The following is a 27,821-nucleotide window of genomic DNA, read 5'->3' as shown; positions in this document are numbered from 1 at the left end:
CGGCTGTCTCCAAATAAGTGATGAGATATAATGCATCCTCCAGTCCATGCACGCTTCCTCTTGCAATTTGTGCATCATTCCTCAGTGGAAACCTTTAAACCCTAAAATCCAGGAAAAGAAAATAAATACATTATCATGGACCTGAGGGATTTTTACCTGTTGGCTGCTCTGATTGCCTGTTTAAGGCTGGATTCCGCAATAGCTCAAGAACTTATTTACACTATTAGAGAGGAATTGCCTGAAAATGTGCCCATAGGAAACATACCAAAGGATCTGAACATTTCTCACATCAATGCTGCCACAGGGACCAGCGCCAGCCTTGTCTACAGACTGGTTTCTAAAGCTGGGGATGCCCCTTTGGTGAAAGTTTCCAGCAGCACTGGGGAAATTTTCACAACCTCCAACAGAATAGACAGAGAAAAACTCTGTGCTGGCGCCTCATATGCTGAGGAGAATGAGTGTTTCTTTGAACTTGAGGTGGTGATCCTCCCCAATGATTTCTTCAGGCTGATCAAAATAAAAATAATTGTCAAGGATACCAATGATAATGCCCCCATGTTTCCATCTCCTGTCATCAATATTTCCATTCCAGAAAACACTTTGATCAACAGCCGCTTTCCAATTCCATCAGCAACAGATCCTGACACAGGCTTCAATGGTGTACAGCATTATGAATTGTTAAATGGGCAGAGTGTTTTTGGACTGGATATCGTGGAAACTCCAGAGGGAGAGAAGTGGCCACAACTGATTGTTCAGCAAAACTTGGATAGAGAACAGAAAGATACCTATGTGATGAAAATCAAAGTAGAGGATGGAGGCACTCCACAGAAATCCAGTACGGCCATACTGCAGGTCACAGTAAGTGATGTAAATGACAACAGGCCAGTGTTTAAAGAGGGTCAAGTGGAGGTGCATATTCCAGAGAATGCTCCCGTAGGTACCTCTGTAATTCAGCTCCATGCCACTGATGCAGATATAGGCAGTAATGCTGAAATCCGGTACATTTTTGGTGCCCAGGTCGCCCCTGCAACCAAAAGACTCTTTGCTTTAAATAATACTACTGGGCTGATTACAGTTCAGAGGTCCTTAGATAGAGAGGAGACAGCCATTCACAAAGTGACAGTGCTGGCTAGTGACGGCAGCTCCACTCCTGCTCGAGCAACGGTTACCATCAATGTCACCGATGTAAATGATAACCCTCCTAATATAGACCTCAGGTACATTATAAGTCCCATCAATGGCACCGTGTATTTATCTGAGAAAGATCCTGTCAATACAAAGATTGCCCTAATTACAGTTTCAGATAAGGACACAGATGTGAATGGCAAAGTGATCTGTTTTATTGAAAGAGAGGTCCCATTTCATTTGAAGGCGGTATATGACAACCAATATTTGTTAGAGACCTCTTCTTTGTTGGACTATGAGGGCACCAAAGAATTCAGCTTTAAAATTGTTGCCTCTGATTCTGGGAAGCCCAGTTTAAATCAGACTGCCCTGGTAAGGGTTAAGCTTGAGGATGAAAATGACAACCCACCAATTTTCAACCAGCCTGTAATTGAGCTGTCAGTTTCTGAAAACAACCGACGTGGGTTATACTTAACAACTATTAGTGCCACAGATGAAGACAGTGGGAAAAATGCAGACATTGTTTATCAGCTTGGACCGAATGCCTCCTTCTTTGATCTGGACCGAAAAACAGGAGTTTTGACAGCCTCCAGAGTATTTGACAGAGAAGAACAAGAACGATTCATTTTTACAGTAACTGCCAGGGACAATGGGACCCCTCCCCTCCAAAGCCAAGCGGCTGTGATTGTTACTGTTCTGGATGAGAATGACAATAGCCCCAAGTTTACTCATAATCATTTTCAATTTTTTGTGTCTGAGAATCTGCCAAAGTATAGTACTGTGGGGGTAATCACAGTGACAGATGCAGATGCTGGAGAGAATAAAGCTGTGACTCTTTCCATTCTAAATGACAATGATAATTTTGTGTTGGATCCCTATTCTGGAGTCATAAAGTCAAATGTCTCATTTGATAGAGAGCAGCAGAGTTCCTACACTTTTGATGTCAAAGCCACTGATGGAGGACAACCACCTCGTTCCTCTACTGCAAAAGTAACTATCAACGTCATGGATGTCAATGACAACAGCCCAGTTGTCATTTCTCCACCGTCTAATACTTCCTTTAAGTTGGTGCCCCTCTCAGCCATTCCTGGCTCCGTGGTAGCAGAAGTTTTTGCAGTGGATGTTGACACTGGAATGAACGCTGAACTAAAGTATACTATAGTGAGTGGAAACAATAAAGGCTTATTCCGGATTGATCCAGTAACAGGTAACATTACTCTGGAAGAAAAACCAGCACCTACTGATGTGGGATTGCATCGTTTGGTGGTCAACATAAGTGACCTGGGGTACCCTAAGTCTTTGCACACGCTTGTGCTTGTATTCCTTTATGTTAACGACACTGCTGGAAATGCCTCCTATATCTATGACTTGATCCGCAGGACTATGGAGACCCCGTTGGACAGGAACATAGGGGATAGTAGCCAACCCTATCAAAATGAGGACTATCTAACCATCATGATTGCCATCATCGCCGGTGCCATGGTGGTCATTGTTGTGATCTTCGTCACCGTTCTGGTGCGCTGTCGCCATGCATCAAGGTTCAAAGCAGCTCAGAGGAGCAAGCAAGGTGCCGAATGGATGTCCCCAAACCAGGAGAACAAGCAAAACAAGAAAAAGAAAAGAAAGAAAAGGAAGTCTCCCAAAAGCTCTCTTTTGAACTTTGTTACTATCGAAGAGTCCAAACCCGATGATGCAGTTCATGAACCTATCAATGGGACAATAAGCCTGCCGGCTGAACTGGAGGAGCAAAGTATAGGAAGATTTGACTGGGGCCCGGCACCTCCAACAACATTCAAGCCTAACAGTCCTGACCTGGCCAAGCACTACAAATCTGCTTCTCCACAGCCTGCTTTTCATCTCAAACCAGACACTCCAGTTTCCGTGAAAAAGCACCACGTGATTCAGGAACTCCCTTTGGACAACACCTTTGTTGGGGGTTGTGACACCCTTTCTAAACGCTCTTCCACTAGTTCAGATCACTTCAGTGCCTCAGAGTGCAGTTCCCAAGGAGGCTTCAAGACAAAGGGCCCCTTACACACCAGACAGGTAAACGAGCACTTTTACTGGTCTATAAGTACTGCATACAAGTGCCCAGTCAACCAGTATTAACGTGCCAGTATGTCTATTGTTTTGGTCTAACTTTAGCTTAGTTAGAAAGAGGTAAAAAAAAACTTGACCCCTTTTCTATTCCTCTGGGGCTCAGTCAAGAATTTTTAGAACAGCTTTGAAATTTCTGAGTTCTGAGAATATTTTCTCCTTTCAGTTTCCTTCAAATGGCAAAAGATGAAAAGAGAAAATTATTCCAAAATGTCCCAAGATAATGTTTGCTGAAGAAGAAAAAACCTGTCCTGATATGCCAAATTCTGCTCCTGGGGGTTTCCAAATTGACTGCTTCAAGACTTTCACCTTACCTTTTGATCTAAAAAGTCACCTTCAAATCTCAAGTTTTCAATGACTTTTGAAGGTGTGACTGCAATTATGTTGCAGCTATGGTTGCTAAAGGGGTTAATTTTTTTTTTAGTCTCTAAACAGGATAGTAGAATATTAAATGTACATCAGCTGTGAAGCACATGATCGTTGATAGATTGCAACTAAGCCATATAGGAAGTCTTCTCTTTGATTTCAAATTATTTTATTGTAATATATTAAATTCGGTACTTAATAGAAAGATTTTTAGTGTCCGCAGTGGCCAAATACTCTTTCAAAAAAAAAAAAAAAAAGAATGCTTGCTGCCTAATATAACTGATTTAAAAAGAAAAGAATGAATCCATTGTAAATATTCTCTCATCTTAGTAATGCATAAGTGATCTGTCATAACTCATTTTAAACTGTGAAATATGCCATATGAAGAGGGATTAAGAGGCTGAGAAACTCATATTTCAACCAAATCCAGAATTAGTTTTTCTTAGGTCTAATAATTCCTTGTTAATAAAGATTTAAATGCAGCGCTGTCTAATTTATTTCACTGGTGCTTGTCTGTTGCCACAAAATTTGAATATCGATAATAGCCTGTAGATGGCACTAGGGTATCATGTCGCTTGTGCTGGCCAGGTGCCAATCCCGCAGTAGCAAGGAGAAGGGGGAGGGAAGGATCAAGCTGGTAGTACAGCCAAAGATACCTTTTATTTAATGATAGTTGCTCTGGAGCAACTAGCATTTAAGTTCATTCGCTTGCTCTTTTGTGATTAGCTCTCAGCACACCAACTTTCTAGGATTTCGTAATGCTAGTTCTGTCTTTGTCGATATGGAGTTCACCTATGGTGATGGCCCATCTGTACTTGTTTATAAATAAGGAACACATAGATTTTAGAAAATCAAGTAAAGCAAAATTAGTTTGCAGAACAGTATCAACAGTTATCATTGATTAGTCTTTGGAGAATCAAGAGTTTTTATTTTCTGAGGGTGGGGTGAAGTAGGATGTTTTATTGAAACAGTTTCCCCCTTACCAACTATCATTTATTGCTCTGGAAGGACTTAAGGCTTCATGGTAATAAAATATTTATAAGAGTAATTTTGACAATGAGTCATACAGATACTCCCAGAACATCAAGTATAATACATATTACCATACAACTAAAATCTCCATTCTTAAAGTAAAATATTAAACAGTAGAGCGTTTTAAAAGTACAAATATTTACAGCTTAAATACACAGGAAGAAAGGACTTTAATCAGTATAGAATTTTAAAGGAGACTATGAGATTATTACATATAAGTCAAAGTTAGAACGACTTAATTTTTGTGTTAACTTTGTTAGTATTTGAAAAGAGGTTGATGTTTTAAAATTTAAAAAATGTTCAGTCTTAGTAAAGGTTTTTAAAAGTTAAATAGTTAACTATGATAAGAAAAGTAATTTATGAAACTAAATGAGTTTGATTAAAAAGTTGCTCTTAATGAACAGAAAGAAAATTTTTTAAATTATTTACTTCTGTTATGGTTACTCACAATACACATGGTATTTTATGATATGCATAATTATGTTGAGAAACTAATATGACTTAAACTTTTTCATGTAAAATCTGACATTTTCTTTCCAAAGAAATGTACTGATATACTTCCAGCATCATCTTTTTTTCTGTCTATACGTGGTGATATTAGCATTGATGTATAGATCCACTTTTTCTGACCTCCCCAAAAGTTGAACCTATATATAGTGTAGTGACATAAATGTTAAGTGCATTTCAGCAAAGTATGCAAGAGATCTTTTCTTGAGGCTTAGTCAGTCATAAAAGTCTTTGTATGATGTAATCTTTCAAATAGGATACTGAGTAATTCTCTAACTGGAACTAAAGTGCGTTTTAGAAATTTCTTGTGACCATGTGTCACTTTGCAGTTCTCCTATGGGTATTCCAATGTTCATATGGAACTAGGTAATTCACTCTTATGATAAAGAGCTATTAAAATGGCTTTGCTTACACCTTTTAAAAGTTTTCATGCTGAAAAAGAAATAGTGTGATGTTGGAGAAAAGAGATAGAAGTCGGTGGAGAAGTGGTAGTGATATACAAAGTAATATGTACATTTTTTTGGATAAAAGAAGCATATTTCCTATGAATGAACGACATCAAATATATACTACTCTTTAAAAATTTGTTTTCACTGAACTGTATGATTGCTATCTGCAGATGTTCTAGTTAAGCTAAAAAGTAAAAACTTTTTTAACTAGTGGCTTTTATATAAAATGTGCTCCTGAAGCTACACAATTTTGAAAGAGTAACATTTCTTGCTACAAAAACTTTCAAAGGAATTTATTTAAAAAAATACAATCTGTGAAGATTTTAGTTGTGTGACGACTATTGCTCACACCATCTTTTCATTTTATGCTATTAATTGATATGTGGGTAAAATGCAAGATTCTTGGTTAAAAGCTTACCAAACTTAAATTTCACTCATTTATACTGTATGTATAACGAAAACATAACGTCTGATGTTTTCATCATGAATTTGTTTGTGGTACATCAATTCCTATATTGTCTGATATTTTTCCCCTTGCTGTTTTCCCTTGTGTTAACCTGCAAAGAACATAGGAAACACTGTAAATCATATTCCTCATTCACTCTATTTTATAAAGCTTTCATGTGTCACTAAATTTTTCACAGATTATTTCTTACAAATTTTTGGAAGTGCGATTAGCCTTTATAGGTTAAGAATTTACTTTTTTTTTTTTGGCAAAAGGTCATGTCTCGGTAATTATTTGTAAAAAAAAAAAAAACAACAAAGTTTACAGCCAAAAGGTGAAGAGGATGAAAACGACAACATTATCCATTCCAACAAGGCTTTAAATGATAAAATTCATTGGTATATTTGCCTAAAAGAAAAATGGTCTTGTTGACAGATATTGTTTTAAAATATGATACTGATTCTCCCTGTGGAATGTCTGGGAATCATTTGGAGCACTACTTAAAACATGGATTGTTGGGTTCTACCCCAGAGGCTCTGATTTCGTACCACTGAGGTCAGGACTGAAAATATACATTGCTAACAAGTTCCTAGGTGGTACTGATGCTGCTAGTCCAGGGCCCACACTTTGAGAACCACTACCTTAGCATATTGAAACAGGAAGTGTCAGCCTCTTTCCCTCTCGTATTATCATATCCAGAGAACCTGTTTTTGCACAGCCCAACTCTCAGCCCACTTATTGACAGCTGTTTTATTGTAGCTGGAGGCTTTACAGTAAGCTGTTTATTGCTGTTTCCCAACCCAGTTGACAGCATTTAGGGAATTAATTTCTTGGCCCCTGTGTGGTTTTTTGGGGGTGGGAAGAGGGAAGATAAATGAAAATGTTAAAGTAAAAGAAATAGTCACCCATTTACATTTGACAACTTCTTCAAGTAGTAAAACAGTCTGTAAGAGTTGCACTAGACATTGGTTCTGGGTAAACTGTCATTTAATTTTCTAAAGGAAATACTCATTTTAGAGCTTTAAACATCCTGACTTTTCACAATCTAGAGTATTTACTCACATATATTTTTCTATATATTGAGGAATGTATACACTGAAAATGTGTATGCGTGCTGTACTTAAGTGTATACATGTATTTTTACAGTGTAAAGGGAATTTCTTCTATTCCAAACCATTTAGAGATACTATATTACATTTATGATTACTTTTCATTTTTGAATAATCTACTACAACCACTACTGAAATGTTATTATGTTATGTAAAATGCGGAAGGCAGTCACAGAATTGATATTTAGAACAGCTAGGGAAAAAATGCAATTGAAAGTGAAGGGGGCAAATGTTAACTAATGTGAGGCTAACCAAAATCTTTAAGATATTTTCAATTATTAAATTCTGGAATAGATATATATAGTGACAGTTGAACACAGGTGACAACTGATCCCCCAAATGCAAATTGTTTTTAAAATGTTATCGGTTGTGATTTTTATTTCTATGGCTCTTTGGCTAAGTGCCCTATGGTCATGAAGTCAGTTTTCATACTTATGAGGTAGAAGATACCCAGAGCCCTTGGATATTAACACAGATTTTTGAAATGAGGATAGGCCACCCATTCAAACTGGCTATCTTTCCATTTGGGTTTGTAAGATAAATATTTGACTATTTTTCTTTCCATCTTGATATTCCTAAGCTATAAAATTCAAGACGCATTTTGGCCTTCCATTGCTAATAACATTAAGCAGAATAAAAATGAAAAGTTACTATTGTATTAAACATAGACATGTCTGTTGATTCTTGAATATTTGTTAACGTAGAGAAAATAGTATATGTGGTGACAATATTCTATTCTCTTATTATTTGTTTTTGTTGCCATTAATTCAAGATATAGAAACAAGGAACATTAATGTTCTCCTTAGTTTCAGACCAGTCATCCTATGGTGAGACAGGGCAGGCTTTGGTGTCATTGAAATTACTTTGAAAATATTGTACTTGTAATAACATGTTACATTCTTATGGTGTAAACATATTCTTATTATTTAAATAATTGCAAGCTATCATTTATCTTCTTATGATTTCATACATTAAATTAAAATATGTGAAATAGTAAAGTAGAGGGAATTTAGATTTAAGGAAAAGCCTCAAATCTAAAATCAAATTTTCTCATAATTAACTATGATTTATATTGAACCTTAAGGTTTCATTTTCATATTGATGTGTGTAAAATATCTATAAATTATACTTATATTATTAGATATGGCATTGTAACGCATCCTTTTTCATATTACTAATTTTACACTACAGTACTGAAGTATGAAAATGACACCTTTAAATCATTTTGTTTTCTGTAATCTTATTTCCACAACAATTTTTGTTGTCTTATTTAGATTGTTTTTATTTCTAATTTTTTTTTTTCGGTTGGGGGAATTCAGAAATCCACCAAATGCTGAACGTTACAGTTGTAGCCTTGGTCCCACTATACCAGTCTGGGTGTTTACAGGGTTTCAGGGCCAAGTCAGATGTCTGTATTGCTCTTTTACAATACTTCTCAGTTTGACTTTGTTAAAGGTGAACTCTTAGCTTGTATATAGTTAAAAACATAACAAAACTGGAAATCCAGTGGATTGTTTACTACTTTGACTTAAAATCCTTGGTGCAATCTTTCTTTGAATTTAGTTTGGTGTTTTCTTGAAGATAATTCTTTATTATAACTAGAAATTACTCTCTTAATATTAGTAAATCATTTAATATCTTATATATTTCACTGAGTTGGAAAGTACAAATTAGTTAATGCAGATTTTTAAAGGTTTGGCCTTTCTGACACTCAACTTCACATTTAATATTTTTTCCACAATTTATTACATATAAGGACCCTAACCATTATATCAGATTTATTAAAATATGACTCTAATCACAGGCCAGGTATTAGTGAAAATTTGGAAATGCAAGTCAGGAAGAGGCTTATTCTAAAGTTTCATGGAGGCATAAAAGTCAGACTCTTTCGTAAGTAATAATGCTAATGTCTTATAGACTTTGACATAGTCAGCGACCCCCAAATCTACATTATACTACAGAAGTAAAGACAAATGTAAAAATAGGATCTCTCATGTACATAAGGAGATGTACTCTGTTTTTAAGATTTCATTGGTTGTTATTTAAGAAAACTGTCAAATCTGTCAAACATTTCATTTAGAAAGGAACACATGCTTTTTGCCTTTGTTTGATACAAACCTATTGGGCTGTCAGTCACCAGAAACATAGAACAAAAAAGATTTATTACCATGATTGACATTTTGCTTTTGATTTATATTCTTTTCTTCTGTAAGCCAAGACTCATTAAATTTTCAAATTCCTAAATAAGTTAAACAACTGTCCTTTTTTAACAGTAAAGAGTGATACAGAAATAAACTGGAAAAACAACCCATATTTAATCTTTCTCATTCATATTTTTGTCCTATAGACAGTTTGTCTCTGATAGACAAGAATAGTGGCAGAATCAGTAGAATTTTCTGAGGCATAGCATATAAATATAAGAAATGCAGAACTCAAAGTCATTCATTAGGGATCTGTTTTTACATATTTATTCATTATTTAAATGGCATATGAAAATATTTTCCCTTGATCTTTTACAGTTTGATTGATTAGAGTGCCATAAGCACATATCACGTTTTAAATGATGGGCTTGAGACCACCTGTACAGCTAAGAATGGCAAAGATAGAAGCACAGTCAAGGTCTTTGAGGAATATTTGATTGATTCTATCATTTTATACTAATTATTCTGGATCCTTGAGAAAATATATGAAATGAACTTACCTGTTCTTGAAAGGAGCCTGCTACGTACAGCTTCACCACTTAGTAATTTATGTGGATATTTAATTGTGTGGGCTGTAGGAAAGAATGGAAATGTGGTCAATTTTATCATGTTTGTGTAATATCTTGTATTTTAACATTCTTCTATAGTTTGTCTCTCTATCCAACCATCTCTGCATTTGAGTATTACACTGCTTTGTTAATAACCACTCTCTGGGCCTTTTTCAGCCTGTTAGCAGTTGATTAAGAAACACTCTAATCCCTTTCAGGATATTGAGGAGCTAATGGATTGCAGACTATTTGGATCTTTAAGCTTCTATTGTAAACGGTATGAAGAATTGTCATTGAGCTGATATTTGCATATATCTCTCCCAGTGCTAGTTACTTTGCCTCCTTTTTTGTCCTCTTAATCTTCAGCTTTCATTCTGAGAATATTTATTTTAGTCGGAAATAAGCATGCCAGTGATAGAAATTTGGGATTCACCTCCAGATGAATGCCATCACAGACAGGGAAGCTCTGGCACATTTTGCATAGATCTGTATGAACACAGTGAACCCTTCATAAGCTCTTAGATTGCAGGAAATCAGTGCTGAAAATTAAGTGGGGTTTTAAAGATTTGCAAAGTAGAGAGCTTTGTATAATGCTGGTATTGCAGGTGCCTATTAAATATGAAGTAAAGGCTTTGTAATACAACTAGCTAACACATTTCCCTCCACATTAGAGTGATTTATAGCCTAGGGAATTAGTCTTGCCTATTTTTTCCAAATGCAGAAACACTGGATGTGACTGAAAGAATAAAAATCTCAAATACATGCCTTACAATGGACTGATTTGCTGTTGGATGATTCTAATTATTCAAGATAGATGATGCAGGCTTGTTTGTACTTCCTTGTGGTATCTCTGATGCCCATGATCTGGCCTTCATTTCTCCTAAGAAGAAACTCTCAATTGTGTATGCAGACTCTCTTCTGAACCTAAATCAGATTAACACCCCAGGTGTCTATAAGACTATATAGCATTACCATAATGAAGAGGCCTGGGTACCAAGTGAATGCTTCCATCCTCATAGGAATTACTATTGAATCATTTCTCAAACTGTATTTTTAGAATTCATCTTTGCTGCATTTGTAAATATGGTGTGTATTTGTAGCACAGCATTTTGTTCTAGACATACATGGATTTCAATATATTTAGCTTCATGACAATGTTCAGTAAAATCCCTTGCAGTTCTTTAATACTTAATGTCTTTGACTAGCCCTGTTAGATATAAATTGGAGCAAATAGCCATGCATATTTTAAAATGATTTTATAAATCCTATATTTTCACCTATTAGAAAAAGTGTGTAATCCATATGCAGCCCACAGTAGGCACAGGGGCCTGTGAGAGTCATAATAGATGATTGATTTAGAAAAGAAAACAGTTTTTGTGCAAGACAATAGCAACTGCAATTCAGTGAATTAGGTTTTTTTTTTTCCTCATTAAACAAACCTCAATAAAGAAAAGAACGGAAACACAGAAGCAGTTATGAAATGAAGCTGTATCTTTTATAGAAGGAGAATGTCTTCTGCTGACAGTAGTAGTTCTATAGTAGACATTTTCTGGAAAGAAAAATACTGGTGGTTTTTTGGATTCGGTGGATGCAACCAATCTGTGCCTCTGTGTGATAGCAGCTGCATGCTGAGGACTTTCAAATACACAGCTACATAGGATTCGGCAGGAAACTTTTTGTAGAAGGTGCAAATGACAAATGGAGACAAAATGGAGTGAGTTCTGAGTTGTGAGTTGATGCCCTCCTGTGTCATATATTCATGTCATTGAACCGATTTTCACATTGGATGTCTAGAATCACAATAGCCTTCCTTCTGTGTGTCAGCTGGGAACACACCTGGACTGGCTACTTTTCTTTGCTCCATTTCTTGTCATTCACTAGGTGGACTATATTCATGTATGTTGTTAATACATCTGATTTCTTAGTTTCTTGATGGATTTTAAAGTGATGTAATATTATTTCTGCATAATCTTTTCCGTATATATATCCATATATATATATATATATATATATGTTGCTTAAGACAACCACAAAGTGTGAAATAAAATCTATGATGTGTCCTTTCTTGCTAGAAATAGTAAATTCATATTTATTCTGACTTATGGTCTCAGATAATATATTTTCCTTTGCTATTTTTTGTATTGAGTTTTTCTTACTGATGCCTTTTTCCAAGTTAAGGAATAATGTTAGATTTAGGTATATAGAGTAATAATATTTCAATGCATTCTCAACCCATTCAAATTTCCAACATAAAAGAGATGGTAGAATTTATACAAAATCATCATTTTTTGCCTTAAAACTTAAATAGGTATCAAAATTGTATTACACCATAGTAAAAATTGACACAATTTTTAGGATATTTTAGTATGACATAAACTCATTTTCATTCTTGGTCTTAAATGGCAAGATTTTCTGCCATGCAGTGGTAGCAAAATATGTTGAATTCATTGATTGATTTTTAAGCATGATAATAATTAAGTAAAAGCTTCTTGACACCTAAAGTCTCTGTTTTAGACAATTAAATTCTGCTTTAGCTAAGGGTTATTGACTTCTGTATGATACTGGGAGCAACACTCCTCAGGGTTTAAACTATTCTTGCAGGACCATCTGTTATTTGCAGGGACTGTGCATCCTCTCCAGCTGATACTGTGTGAACCCAGGCGTATTTCAGGATTGTTCCTCACATGGCCCTGGTTCCTGATGATCTTTTGGTCTCAAATGGCAACTCAGTAAATCCAAATACTGGTATGCCACTACTTAAAGTATGAAAATCTTAGAGAATATAAGAAAGTTCCTCAAAGTAAGAGACTGTGTCTTACTTACCTTTGTATTTCTAACACTGAACCCACAACAGTGCTGAAAAGAGTGAACTTAGTAGGCATTCAGTAAATTTTGATGCAACCTGAAGATCAGTGATCTTGAAATTTTATTTTATATATATAAGATTTTCCACTGATTTAATCTTTACAACAATCATTCAAGAAAGACATCATTTATGTTCAAAATATATTCTTCCATCACTTAGAGATGTCTGTGGGTCCCATTTTCTCAGTAATTTTGGACATATCATTATGTCTGCCCATCATATCATGGTTTTTCATATTAGGAAATAATGAGAAGGCAAGAGGTGAGCTAAACAAACAGGATCAAATTCCTTCACTTCCAAGCCTCTTCACCCCAACCTTTTATTTAAACCTTTCAGTACTTAGATCATTGATTTATTACTTCTAAACATAATGATCAATATATGTACTTTCATAGGTGCTTGATAGAGATACGTGTTTGTAAGAAAAATACCGTATCACATTAAAGTTTTCTTAATAGACTTTTGAGCCATCCAGACAGTATGCCAGAATCAAGTATAAATTCTATAAAAAGAAGCAAAATAATAACTGAATAGTGATTAATGCAGTGTCTAGCAACTATATTAATTTTAGAAAGATAAACTTGGTGTCTAATAGAACTTATAGAATAGTTACACATTCTCAAGTTTCCAATGCACCTTTGGGATTATTTGGCCTATTTAATTCTTTTTCTGACTGAAGAAATGGAGACTAGAGAACTAATTTGATATTTGGAGTAACAAAAACTGACTTGATGAACTACTACATAAAGACTGTGATACTGGGCACATCATTTAAATGCACTAGTCCTTGCTTTCCTTGTCTGCAAAATGGGTGTAATCATGCCAAATCCATATAAAGTTGTCCTAAGATTAAGTGAATATATATATATATATATATATATATATATATATATATCTGGCTCGCAATAGCCAGACACTCAGAAAATGTTACCTGTTTTTCTACCTCCTGTCCAAGAATACCAGCTTGCCATTGACAGATGTTTGCACATTCATTTAGTGAATGCTTTCTTGATTTTGTTTTTGGTTGTTTTCTTGAATCTGATTTCTATTGTATCTTTTTCACGACTCACCTGTGTTCATCTGCTTTTGTGTTAAAACACTATCTGGTTTCAGATTATTTAGGACTTTTGGAAAATTGATCTTCATAACAGTATCTCAATATAGCATATTTGATGTTGTTTTTTATCTTAATCCCTGTTGTTTCACATTTGTATAATTGCTTCGTCTTTCATTTTGAGTATTTTACCTATTTCATTTGCATGTCATGTTTTAAAATTATTCTGTTCCTTTTAGTGTTTGTAATGAATTTACGTCCCCATAGATTACCCAGAAGCTCCACCCATCTGGGAATTTTCACCGTATCCATCACTCCTATTACAAAATCACATATAAGAGAGAATCTGTTTCACAGTCAGTACTTAACACAGCTGGAATCATTTGAAACCTGCTGGTTCTTGCTTCCAATTATTCCATAGACTGGAAAGCATCCCTGTTGAAGTAATGGCATCCATGGTGTAATCAAACCAGCTAAAATGCCTCAAAGTATATGGATCATATTTCTGAGATTGATTGAATTCATGGTAGAAGCATAATCACCAACAGCTTTTACTATTTTTCTTAATTTAACTTATATTCATTTTATAAGTAAGTTTTTCATGTCTCAATATACAAGTTTGTAATGTTTGAGTATGTGAGTGACATAATAACATAAATGAGACACAACAAATAAAAATATTACACACTACGGTAGTACCCCAAAAATACCTTTTGATAATATCCTGGGGCCAAAATCATTTCCTTTTGTTGGAACAGCTGAAACCATCACGATAAAGTTACTGATTTGTATTTAGAGCAGAATGTAGTGGAGATTTGTTACTAGTTCAATTAACTTTATCAACTAAATAAGAAGTAGATATAGTCAAATTTCAATTGGCTTTGTTGTGATTTTGATTGAATAAATTAAATATGTAACTTCTTGTTGAACTTAACCACCCTCTCAGTGCAATACAATTGTTTTGGATTGGTCTTTTAGTTTAGTTCTAGTTTTATATAAGAAGACAGTTTCATAAGACAAGAATTTAAAACAAAACAAACTTAAAATTAAAATACTCATTCTTTGTGCTTAGAAAGCTTAATCTAACACATAAAACCTGGAAAACTGGTGTGATTTTCTTTAGGCTTCTGCTTGTTTTATGCTAAGATGTGATATCCATTTTATAGCATTGGGATACCAAACAGGGCAGGGACATAGTGTGGATATTATCTTGAATATCAGACCTCTTAGGGTTATTACAAGGATTGTAGCATGGCATATAGTACATGTTTGGTAAATTCTATTTAATCCCACCACATAGGCAGACATGGACCTAATCAGGCAAAATGTTAAACACATTTTAAATGGTTAAAATCAGGCTTTAAGGATTTGGATTCATTGTTTTATTTGAAATATTTAGCATTCTCATGGCATCAAGTATGTATACATGTATACTGTATGAAGCGATATATTTATTATATACTGCTAAATGTATATTCAAAAGGCTACCATTTTATGTTTTTCATATCAGTCGTTTCCTCTATTAGCTTTTTTTTTTCTTTTTTTTTTTTTTTTTTTTTTTTTTTTTTTTGTGACGGAGTCTCTGTCGTCCAGGCTGGAGTGCAGTGGTGTGATCTTGGCTCACTGCAAGCTCCGCCTCCCGGGTTCAAGCCATTCTCCTGCCTCAGCCTCCCAAGTAGCTGGGACTACAGGCGCCCGCCACCACACCCGGCTAATTTTTTATATTTTTAGTAGAGATGGGGTTTCATCGTGTTAGCCAGGATGGTCTCGATCTCCTGACCTCGTGATCTGCCCGCCTCGGCCTCCCAAAGTGCTGAGATTACAGGGGTGAGCCACCGCGCCTTCTATTAGCTTTTATAATGGAGAGGTAACTGTCCTAGAAAGTCCATGTAAATTCCAGTTCAGATAATGAACAATTACTTATTCTATGAAGACATTTATATTTCCTGGACTGTACCTTTCACATCTTTCCCTATGTGAATGGGTTCCCTGAAGAACTTTTTCTGCCTGCTGAGCACTTATTTGGAGGTAAGTCTAACAATGAGATGATATCCAAACTTATCACTAGACTACTGAACGATATTCTATTTTCCCTAATGGATACCAATGCTTATTCCAGAATTATATTCTATAGTTTTAAATTTTCATGCTTTCAAAAGTATCTGACATTTAGCTGTGAAATTTTCTGCTGCCAAAGACCTTGTCATATGATCCACGGACAGATACACAGCTAGGCTTTTTAAATTTTGTATTAATTCTGTTATTCAACACACATCTAATAAATAACTGCTGTGATCCAGGAACAGCATTAGACAATAGGAAATTTTTTTTAAGATAAAAAAAATTGTCTTTGGTTTAAAATATTCCATTAAATTTTAAGCACAGTACTTTTTTCCCTTGGAATTTCCTTATTAAAAAAAATATGAGTTCACTCTCAATTTTAAATAGATGTCATCATTTCCCTGAAATATATTTTTTAAAGTCTCTCTCTCTCACATTTTTTTTAACTACTGCTGGAGACTTGATCTTTCAATGGGGTAATAAGATTCTAAGATCTATTACTCTAATTATAAGAATGCCAGGTTTAAATTTATCCTTTGGTTAATTTGGAGGGAAATGTACTTTTTCATTCTTAAAATCACACTCCTTCTACAGGCAAAGGTGTTAATAAAATATAGTAGCAAGTAAAACTTCATTTTTTTACTAGATGAGATTAGCATATTTGCTATATTAAAAATTACTTTAAAAACATGGCACACATGAATAATGTTGAATGATAACCCAAGCTAAAGTAGACAGTGGTTCTCTAAAAATGGAATTTCACTTGTAGAGACATCCATTTTGAAAAGGGCTGTTTCAAGTCATGATATTTTGAAAAAATGTTTTAGCCTTCGTACGTTGAAAGGACATGTTTACCACAGATATGGAACATAGATATTAAATTCTGGCTGGAATAAATGTTTGGTTTAATTGGCTTCTGCCTCCAGATGGTTCTGATTTTATCAAGTCCATTTTCTTATGAATATTTATCACAGTACTTCAAGGAACCAATGCAATGATATAAACGTTGAAAACAAGAGACCTTTATTTTATATATATATGTTTTCCTAAATTGAGAAACATACATATCCTGAAAATTTAGTTTTCTTTCATCATCGAAGAAAATGTCATAATTCGGCTATTACAGCCAAGACAGACTATGTTTTTTTAACTCAATTATTTCTAAAACACTAACTTACATATGGATAAATGTTTATATAGGAAGGTCATCCCCAAATTTCAAATTTTTATTTAAGCCAAAAATTTGTATTTTAAAAAATAATGCATATAATGCCTCACCTGCACATTCTTGTACAAACATATTTTAGGAGATAAATCTTTATTGCCAGAAAACATACTATTTTAATTGCAATTAGACTTCTGTGATAACCATCAAGCTGGTGCCTAAATCTAAAAGGATCTTTCCAACTGTTCTGTGGATGCTTAGGCTTAGGCAACTATCACCAAGTAATTACTATAATTTAAATGAACTACGAAATTGAAACCTGCTAAAATATGTAGACCTCAGGAATCAAATGTGTATTAACACTTGTTAATTAAATATTATTGGTTAAAATTAATTTAGAAATTATTATTGGGTTGATATGACCAACCAAAAAACTATATGTAAATCACTTCTTAATACTATGAAAATATGAACAGTTTGGTAAACTAATTTAGAACCAAGCAACAGGATATATTAAGCTTAGGAAGATACAGACATTTAAATAAAGGTTGGTATAGAAGTCACATGATAGTTGCTCTGTCTGTAGTAACCAATTTCTAAATAAAATCAAAAATGTGGCATTCTCACCACTTTTCACAGTGACAATTAACTTGGTGTTTTTACGTAGTTTCAATTCCTTGCTTATTCTGATTTTTATAAGTGACTATGCAATGTATTACCACATAAAATAAAACAGTAGTGGTTATTAAAATCAGTACTTAAATTTTCCCATTTTAAAAAGTGTAGAATACATTATTTTCTCTCTTTTTGGCTACAATAATGTCTATTCAAAACCATTTATACTTTGCTAGAATTACACTTAGCATCTTGAGAATTCAGTTTTCTCCTCTGAAAATTAGATAATTGGACTCAACCATTTTTTTATTTCTATTATTAAAAATTGAACTACAGCTTTTGTTAATTACTTAGGGAAACATTACTCCTTGGCAGGTTTTCTCTTGCCACCCAACATCCATCTGGCCTACTTCTTTCTATTATCAGTTGATATATGTTCAAATAGTGCACATCAGTGTTAACATTGGCTCAAGAAAAACAATTACAAAATAAATCACATGGTTCAGTCTCTCCTGACAATGAATGATTTGCAATATTCCCATTGTTTGTATGATCTATGTTATCACTCTCTTGCATTAGTGTTGATAACACAGTATTGCCTCTATCTTTTTTGAGGTTGCTCTGTGATTAATTTTCCCCTTCTGAACTAGAAAATTAACTTTTTTCTCTTGAATTAGAAATCAAAAAACAGAACTACAAAACCTTGAGCAGATTGTTGGCATTTATTATTTGATTGGAAAACCATGAACTTAAAATCATTATGTAGCTGCCATATTTTTATCAGTAATATTACTCTTATAATGTTTGATTTTATTGTCTATAGTAACACATTAAGGTGACTTTAGCATATTTCAACTTTTGTTAATGTTGGAGAATTACACATAGTTTTGCAATAATGTGTAAATGTAATAAAAATATCAAACAGTGGTAATTTTGACTGATAATGTTAGTTATCAGGACAAGTGTTAGAAAAGCAAATTTAATCAAATGGTGCCCACTGATTTTATAGGCAGTTTCTTCATTCAAAGTAAAAGTGATGTTAAATTGAAGAACTTGTCAGTCTCATGCTGGAGGAAAATCAGCTTTAGGATTAGAAAAACCAAACTGCAAATTAGATGAAATACCACATTAATTAGATGAAATACCACATTAATGTTAAAAAAAACCGGTGTTATTTGGTTACATGGAAATAAAATAAAACGGTTTTGCCATCAATGAGTCTAACACATTTTCTTCACAACACTGCAGAAATAAGAACCCACAGGATGGTTCTGAATCTTGAACAGCAGCTTAGGAATACTTACTCGTCTAATAACTCAATTTGCTTGCATTTACTACTACTTACTGCATTGTACCCTTTCATCTTCTAACAAGTTTAGGAAGACCAAATTCTTTTGGTGTTTTTGATAGAGATATGGTAAAGAGACTATTTTACACTGTAGATGGATCGGTCTAGGAGTCACTTTGTAAGTTTGGAAAATTGACATCGATGGAGGAGATGTATTAAATAGTTCCAGAAATGCCACATTTTGGATGCAAGACACTTTTTAATCATATTAAGCAGTCTCTTTAATGCTCACACCCTGAATGCCTTCCTTAAAATGTTCTAAACACTTCCAATTTGAAGAGGGGTTAAAATATAAATGTGGTAAACAAATCACAGAAAGAATATACATTCTTAAGGAATTGTTCTTCTTATGTTATGGTCTTCCAAGTGCGCCAATGACATCGGAAGTATGTGGTGCTAAGGTGAGGCATTCTGTGTAATGGCTTAGTTGCAGGACTCAAGTACTGGGAATTCAGTCAATTCTGCTCTTGTAATACATTGTGTTGGCTTTCAGAACAATACTCCAGTGTTTTTCAGGGGAAGGTATGAGTGTTTCCCTAATAGAAGAGCAGATGTTGTAGCCAATACTGAGAGGTAGGAAAGATATATAATACTTACACAATCTAAAATTTCACCTAAAGTAACGTTTAAATAAAGTTTGTTTAGTAATCATCAGTGTTCTGTTGTCTGTAATGACCAACTTCACCATAAAATCAGAAAGGTGGCAATGTCAACATCACAAACAGTGGCAGCAAACATGGTGCTGTTCTAAATACAGATTGTGTATCCCAAGCCCTTTGCTTTTTTCTATGGATATTCCTCCAACTACTCGTATCAAAGATGTATGTTCTGGTAAAGCCTTCTGTATTGGCAGCTCCTGCTGCTTTTCTGTCATATTCAAACATGACCAACAGCAAATGTACTTACATTTTTTTTCAGCCAATTCTTTCTTATTTCTAGTGACAGTAGTAAATTTACTTATAGCAGTAAAGAAAATATGAGAAATACTTTTCTGTAGTGCCAAATGTTTTAATCACTGCCTATATCAGCCTAATTGTTTCCTAATCAAAAATTGTGAGAATCTAATTTTTGGTCAAAATTGTTTATTATGGAGATTTTGCACATATAGGAAAAAAGTGACATAAATATTATTAATACTAAGTGACATTAATATGTCATTGGGGAATAACCATATGGCTCTCTGAACATGATATGCTTTCTAAGTATTCATCCAACAAATATATGGTCATTTGGAGGCTACTAAAAATAAAGCCCACCAATTTTTTAATGTTGATAATGCCTCTGACAGGAAATTTTAAGGAATATGAAAGTAAAACAAAAAAATAGTTTGTGTCAAATGAACACGCAAGGATTTTTGCATAAGACACACATTAGCTATTTAGGGCATTAATTGATTGATGAAATATTAGCAGTATCTGGCAAGGTTAGAAGATGGACAGATAAAGAAAATTCTGTGAGTTCATAGAGCATTGTCAGAGTGAGCATTCCAGGGACAATACAGTGTGAATTACAGCTATTTGATTAATCGAATCAGTTCTGTATTGTAAAAGTACAAAGAGATGGTGTTACTGGAATCTGATTTGGAATTGGATGCTTGTAGATTAATAAACTGGTATAGACTGTGCTTCCCAATATTTTGCCTCAAAAAAGAATAAATTCATTAGGAATTGGAACAAAAGCAATGTTACATAACCTTTGTAGTATTAGAGTAGTCTATATAGGGAAAAAGCTAATAATAAAAAGTAATCAATTCATTAATCTCAATGGTTTGCTATTGGCATTGAAACTAATTATTGATCGCATTGACATGATTAGTCATAGCTTTATTACTAGAAATGTGAACATGATTTTAAACATATGTAAAACTAACTGGCCAAAATAATCCACAGTTAATTTCAGCTAAATAGCTAACAATTTCACAGGAAAAGTGGAAGATATTTGAGGCTTTGTAAAGAGAAGATCACAGCATTCACCTTGGTACCATTATCTTTTGATTTCTAGAAACACAGTTTGCAATGCCTTGAAAGTAGATGTCAAACACCAGCTAATGATAATAACTGATATTTATTAAGTACTCCATGTGCGTGAAGTTCCTCTCAGCACTTTACATGTATTAATTCAAATAGAACCAACTACTTTCTGAGGAGGATACTGTTATTATTGTCCGTATTTTACAGCTGAGGAGAAGTTGAATGATTTGCTTCAGGTCACAGTTCTAGTCAGGGGAGAATAGTTTACGGTTCCAACCCTAGCAGTCTTAGACACTGCGCTCTCTTAGCTGCTAATTAATACTGTCTCTATCATGGAACTTTTATACAAAACATAAACTTGTAGTTAGTCAGCAAAAGTAAATTTTGCCAAAAAGAAATTTGGCCATTTTAACCTTTTTTTAAAGGTTAAAAAAAAAATCACCGAAGTCTAATTTAACCTTTTTTTTTTTTTTGCTTCATTATTATACAAATTTTGCCACTGAGCACATAGCATTATGACAGAACTATTCCTGAGACATGGGGAGATACTTTACAGTTTACAATGAACATTCACAGACAGTATATGTGAAAAGTAGAAATTAGCATTTGTATCTTTTAGGCAGTACGATTCGAGATATTTTTCACAAACGTGAATTTTAGTTGTTAATTTAAATAAATTTGCTCATCTCAAAGCAGAGTTTTGTGATTATTCTTATTTTATACAATGCCTCATATCAGATAAGAAAAGATCTAGAAGAGGGGAAAGTCAAACTCTAATGATAACAAGTGTATCTCAGTCCTAGACTACTTGACTGGAATGATGCTTTCCTTTCTTTTTAAATCTTTATTCCAGCCCCTGTGCCTGAATGGTTCAGAAGCAACCACCAGGCATCTCTGCACAAATTTGCCAGCTAAGATCAGTATAGGCCCTCCTCCAACTTATCTGCAATGCACTGGGAGAATATATCTTCATATCTATTTAGAAACATGCATATAAGTTATTTTAATACTATTTATACAATTTTAGCATTTTCCTAGAGTAGGTTTTCCACTTTCATCACCCACAGCTACAAAATTATTCAGTTATTTTCTACAGTTTTACAAATATACCATATTACGGGCTGCTTAATATCTTCCTTGTTTAAGACTTTAACAGTATCAGCCGGGCGTGGTGGCTCACGCTTGTAATCCCAGCTCTTTGGGAGGCGGGCAGATCATGAGCTCAGGAGTTCGAGACCAGCCTGGCCAATATGGTGAAACCCTGTCTCTACTAAAAATACAAAAATTAGTTGGGCGTGGTGGTGCGCGCCTGTAGTCCCAGCTACTCGGGAGACTGAGGCAGAAGAATCGCTTGAATCCAGGAGGCAGAGCTTGCAGTGAGCCGAGATCATGCCACTGCACTCCAGCCTGGGCAACAGAGTGAGACTCTGTCTCAAAACAAGCAAACAAAAAAAAAAACTTTAACAGTATTTTGTAAATGCCAGTGTGGTGGCTTACACCTTTAATCCCAGCACTTTGTGAGGCCGAGGCGGATGGATCACTTGAGTTCAGGAGTTTGAGAGCTGCCTAGACAACATAGCGAGACCCCATCTCTACAAAAAATACAAAAAATATCCAGGCGTGGTGACGCCTTGGCACTAGAGCAAGACCCTGTCTAAAACATAAATAAGTACATAAATAAAAATAAAATTCATCAACCGCGTGTTGAATTCTCAAGATTCCCCTTAAACCTGAGAACTGGAGAGAGCCATTTCAGTTATATAGTAAAATTAAATTTGTTTATCATGGATTATTATAATGGACGTATATTGATAAAATGTCTAGGTGAGAATTTTACAGTTGTAATTGGAGGTCCATTTAAAGGTTAAAATGAAATAGAGAGTTATGGATGCACAGCTTTCCATATTGTGTTTGGCAAAGGAAATTGATTCTCGGAATGATATGCTACCCTTTTTGTCCACTATGTGTAGTGCATATGGATGATGGAATCACTTTCATGAGTACAGTTCTTATTTAGAACACACATTCCGTAATATCCCTAGAAAATAAAAAAGATTTATGTGTTCAAAAGGAGTTTCTTGATATGAGACAAGCAGACTGACTTTCAATTACAAACACTTAGAATTCTGAACCTTGCATTTTTATTGCGAGAACTCAGTTATTTTCCAAAGCTTGGTTTGAGAGCTATTTTCAGGCAGCAGCTTTTTCTTGAAGTCCCTTACTGATAAGTATAGTAAGCAGAAATATTTCAATTACTCTAATTAAAAAGCAGTATTCAACATGTTGACTGAAGGTGGAGTTTATGTTGTTCACCAGACAATGAGAAATTGGGAAGGGACTATTTTAGATAGATCATTGATGTGAGAAAGTTAAATTCACCTGTTAATTTGTCAATAAACTAGAACAGCAGGGTTTCCTTTGTTAAAATATAAGATAATATATTGGAAACGCATAATTCTTAGACATGAACTCAAAGACATGCAGGCAGGTTTACTTTTAGCTCATGGCATATGCAAAGATAGGCATCAATTTGTGGTGAGGATATGAGGAAGTTTTTATCTGTACATTTGTTTAAAGAGTCATGTTTAGAGAAGCATTTTTTAATAGATACTCTTTTCAATGGAACTCATATTTAATTAGACCAAACATAAAAGCCAACACTTTAAGTAATCTCTTTTTAGCAGATTTTCATGGAAGAGTGCCAAATTGTTTTGGTTTCACTATAGGTTTACAGTCTTCTGATAGAATTCCCAGTTGGGATTTGAAAACCAAACTGTGTCATACAGACATGAATACAGTGGCCTAACGTGATGTGTTGAATTAGCTTTCTAGATGACTTAAAGTATAGCTGGGGTTTTCCTTTATCCAGGGACTAACATTCAAGGTTTTGTGAAAAAGAAAATTAATTTTGCATTGACATTCTGGATGTTGGTGATAATTTGTAGTGACATTATGCCTATTGGTTGTGATTGTGACAGGCAGGCAGACTGGATCCAAATGGACATTACAAGAGCCAAATTAAATAGTCTGAGCATTGGAAATTTCTGCCTTAAGGAAAGCAGAAGCTTTTCAGCATGCACTTGTTTTCTACCTCCACAATTATGGATTAATATACATCAATTCTAGGCAGTTGAGGAATGACATGAGAGGATTAATGGAACTGGACAACATTACACAAGTGAAGTGAAAATTCTGTAATGATTTTTCTGAGGTGATGTAGTAGACAAGGCAAATGGGCATCAGCTCCTAGACTTTGCACCTTTAGAATTTCAAGAAAATGATTGAAAAGAGAAATGGAAAACAACTATCTAACTAAAGCTGGCATAATAATTTTTCTCATCAAATATATACATCATTTTTCACAAATAAGGAGGAGTTATTCAACTGAGTAAGCCAGTACTGTGTGCAGTGTATGATTTTATCCAAAAATTGTGGCCACTTTTATCTCTTAAAACTGTTTAGAGAAAAATTGTGCTTAGTGTGTATCCACAATAAGAAAAACAGATTAGATGCAAAAATAAATATACATAACCAGCCTTATATGTAATCATACTCATTTTGCTTTATGAAATATCTCTGAGGGGAAAATATTTTTTCCATGTCTTTTTGAAGTTTTAATAAGATTTTTTAACCCCAATATATTGAGCTGCCCTAATGCCTACTATTTATTTTTTTCTCTTCTACAAAGTTTACCTATCATATCATATTTATGGCAACATTTTCTACTACTAAGACTGTGGCGGTTTTTTTCCAAGTTATCTGAAAACTTGACTGTCATTATTGCAAATTGATTATTTCCATAAAGGTGCTTTAATAAAATTTCTGTTCTTAGACTTTAATTTGGTAAGCTCTTACACATATTTATACATAATTTGTGATAGGAGTTTTAATCTTTAGATTTTTACAATGTGATTTTCTCATATCTATTCATTGGAAGAGGTAGACTTCTTTTCTTTAATTGCATGCATTTTATCCTTTAACCACAAAATGTGTTTAAAAGCTATGCAAGAATTAGCAAAAGTAAACTACAGCAATATTAAAATGACTTATTTGGTATCACCTTTACAGACCCAGCTCACTTAGGCAATGGTATTCTAGTAAATTACAATATTTTTTAAAGCATAGTTTTTTTTGTTACCTCTTGAAATAGTGATTTTAAAGCCAAAAGGGTCAAGAGTATGCCAAATTTAAGATGATTATTTGGAAAAGAGAGATATCAGCAACTTAAGTATGCTGTATTTAAGGTGATTGTAAAAGAGTTTTTTTATATACAGGACAGCATTAAAACAGAATTACAAAGTCTATTAACCATAATGAAGGAGTTCAAGATGCAGATAAAATTAAATGATTGTCTTTAAGCTTTCAATAAATTTGTTAGCCAATTTAAGAATAATTGCAGCTTATGAAAGCTTGTTTATATTTATCTAATTTCAAAAATTAAGAAAGAATTAAAGGATATTTGAAGTTCTTATTATGTAGTTTCTAACATTGTGAGAGAATGGTCAAAAGACTGCTATGTCTTATTTAGTGTAAATGTGTACATACTTTACAGTTAAAGGAATTACTGCTTTGCTACCATCAAGGTCTTAAAACCCTGTATCAAAACAACCTAGAGATTTGCTTCATTAACTCCTGTTCATTTCGCAGGGCAAGAAATAAGATCCTCTTTGGCAATCACGTGTTACCTGAATTATATTTAATCTCTTTATTACCTTGGAAATATACCAAGACACTCACATATTCACATACACACAGCACACACACATACAACCCTGATGCAAATATGGACAAAATGAACACCCTCACTTATACATCAGTCCATTTCTTCCTCTCATAAATTGAATGTGAATAGCTCTGATGGCATTTCTCTCTGACTGAAAAATAAGGTGCCATGCTTACTCCATGCAAAACCCCTGTTTTACAGTTTTATGCCCCTCACTAAAAATAGATAAATCTGCATTTGTATGTGTCCTCTACTCAGCCTCCCTCATGCCGCCTGACTTCTTGCAGAAGGTGTATATGCTTTTCATTCTGACCAATAAGAGGCAACTTGGTGAGTTATAGAGATTGACTGGGTGCTTGACATGTGGTGCTGCTCCATTAAAACAGTGGGCAGTTGGTACTGGGGAGGTTTAGGAGAATTTAAGTTGTCTTTATTGTTATTAGATGTGCTCTTAGATGTGGTAATATTCTAATATTCTATTAAAAAATATAAAAATGCAACTTCAGTTCACATTATAATAGGTTTTCTCATATTGCTTTTGTGGTCCAGATGTGAAACATAACAATAATAATATGTAATTCTATAATCATCTTCTAATGTTACCAGGTAATTTTTGTAGACAGAGCCAGATAACCCTATTGCTCATTATTTAAGTGCAAAGTACATTTTTTCAATCATTATTGCCTAAGAAATTTTTAGGAGATGATGGTTGAATGGTCCTTCTCCTCACCTCACCACACCAAGATAGGTTGGTATGTGTGTTTGTGTTTCCTTGCTTTCACTTTTTAAAGGATCCTATAGAAAATAACAGTATTGTTTCCATTTAAAAAAAAAACTTGATAATTTATATTCCATTTTATTTCTGAAAAATAGCCACATTTTTACATACCCCAAATAAATCGCCATGTGTAACTATGTGCAAAAAATAATTGAATGTGGCTGAAAACGATCTCACTTGTTGTACTATAATGTATGAATAATAATAAATGTAAAACCCTTGAAATCACATTTTCTTATAATACTATTCTATAGGTAACACTTACAGTACAGTATATTAAATTGGTACTTTGTGAAATGAATTCTTGAGATACTTAGGCACTACACAAAGCATTATTATTAAAGAATTATAGGGGAAATTTTCCCAATTGAAAATTGATAATTAAAGGTATTTAAATTATGTATGTTGCAGAGCAGGTAAGAAGTTCAATGTAGCAATATATTTCTATTTTGATTTCAAATTAAGTTTTAATTACACAAAAAATTGGCTCAAGAACTAGGTGATACATTTTAGAAAATTTTAAATAGCCAAAATAATGTTGAAATATGTTATATGGATAATTTATCAATAAAAATTATTACTGTTAAAAATTGGTAGAATTCTTTCCTCCCTGTGATAAATGATTTAAGTTGAATGGGAATTTAAGTAACATACAGGGATGCATCTTAATACCTATATTTGCTCAACAGTGGTAAACACACAATTAAAACTTGTCCTCATTAAAATGGACTTTTGTACACTATAATTTGAAGTAAGTAATGAATATATAAAGTATTTAAAGAGTTGTATATCAAAATGTATAACGTTCCATTTTTGGCTATATTTTGTAAAACATTTTTGGTGTAATCAGTATGACTATCACATATGTCAAATCAAGTATTCTACTATTTATTTAAACGGATATATACCTAATGTATTTGAAAGCTTATTGCACTCATAAAATTGTATATATTGTGGCTTCAAAAGTCTGTACTTATTCTTGCTTTAAAAAAGTAGTATGTGCATTTCTTTCCAATTTATTTTTAATTAATTATATTAAGGATAACATTCTTTACTAAATGTACCTTAAAATTCACAATAAAGTTTCAGAAATTGTTTTGTACAGTGTTGAGACTTTGTGTTGAATTTGTTCGTGAAAACTTTTTGAAATTTTGCTCTGGTCTTCTAATAAGGATTTCCTGACCTTAATCTTATTGAAAAAATGATGAGTGAAAACATGTGGTTTGGTTAACAGCTATAGCCCTTGTATAAATAGGAGGTCGTTCTCCTAAGTGATGAATTGCTCACACATGTGGAACCTTAGGCTAAAGGACACAGGCTGGGCTTCCCCCCTCACTCTCCCAACCCCAGGTACTCATTATG

At 33.9% G+C, this 27,821-nt stretch overlaps 1 protein-coding gene across 10 annotated transcripts in view; it reads left to right on the top strand.

Moving 5' to 3' along the window:
- The window catches only part of PCDH9 (protocadherin 9), a 927,503-nt gene that overhangs the window by 1,761 nt on the left and 897,921 nt on the right, over window positions 1-27,821 (top strand). For 7 of the 10 annotated variants that reach the window (XM_017020619.3, NM_001318373.2, NM_020403.5 and 4 more), the window contains exon 2: window positions 1-3,171. In XM_017020619.3, coding sequence (XP_016876108.1) covers window positions 136-3,171 — 3,036 coding nt within the window. In that variant the 5' untranslated portion in view covers window positions 1-135. Of the gene's footprint in view, window positions 27,562-27,821 lie in introns of those variants that run through there. The other 3 variants (XM_017020621.3, XM_005266408.5, NM_001318374.2) reach the window with 2 other exon arrangements.

Source organism: Homo sapiens, chromosome 13 (assembly GCF_000001405.40).
Source record: "Homo sapiens chromosome 13, GRCh38.p14 Primary Assembly".
Taxonomy (NCBI): domain Eukaryota; kingdom Metazoa; phylum Chordata; class Mammalia; order Primates; family Hominidae; genus Homo; species Homo sapiens.
The sequence above is the reverse complement of the archived record's forward strand: the minus strand, read 5'-3'. Positions and strand labels throughout refer to the sequence as shown.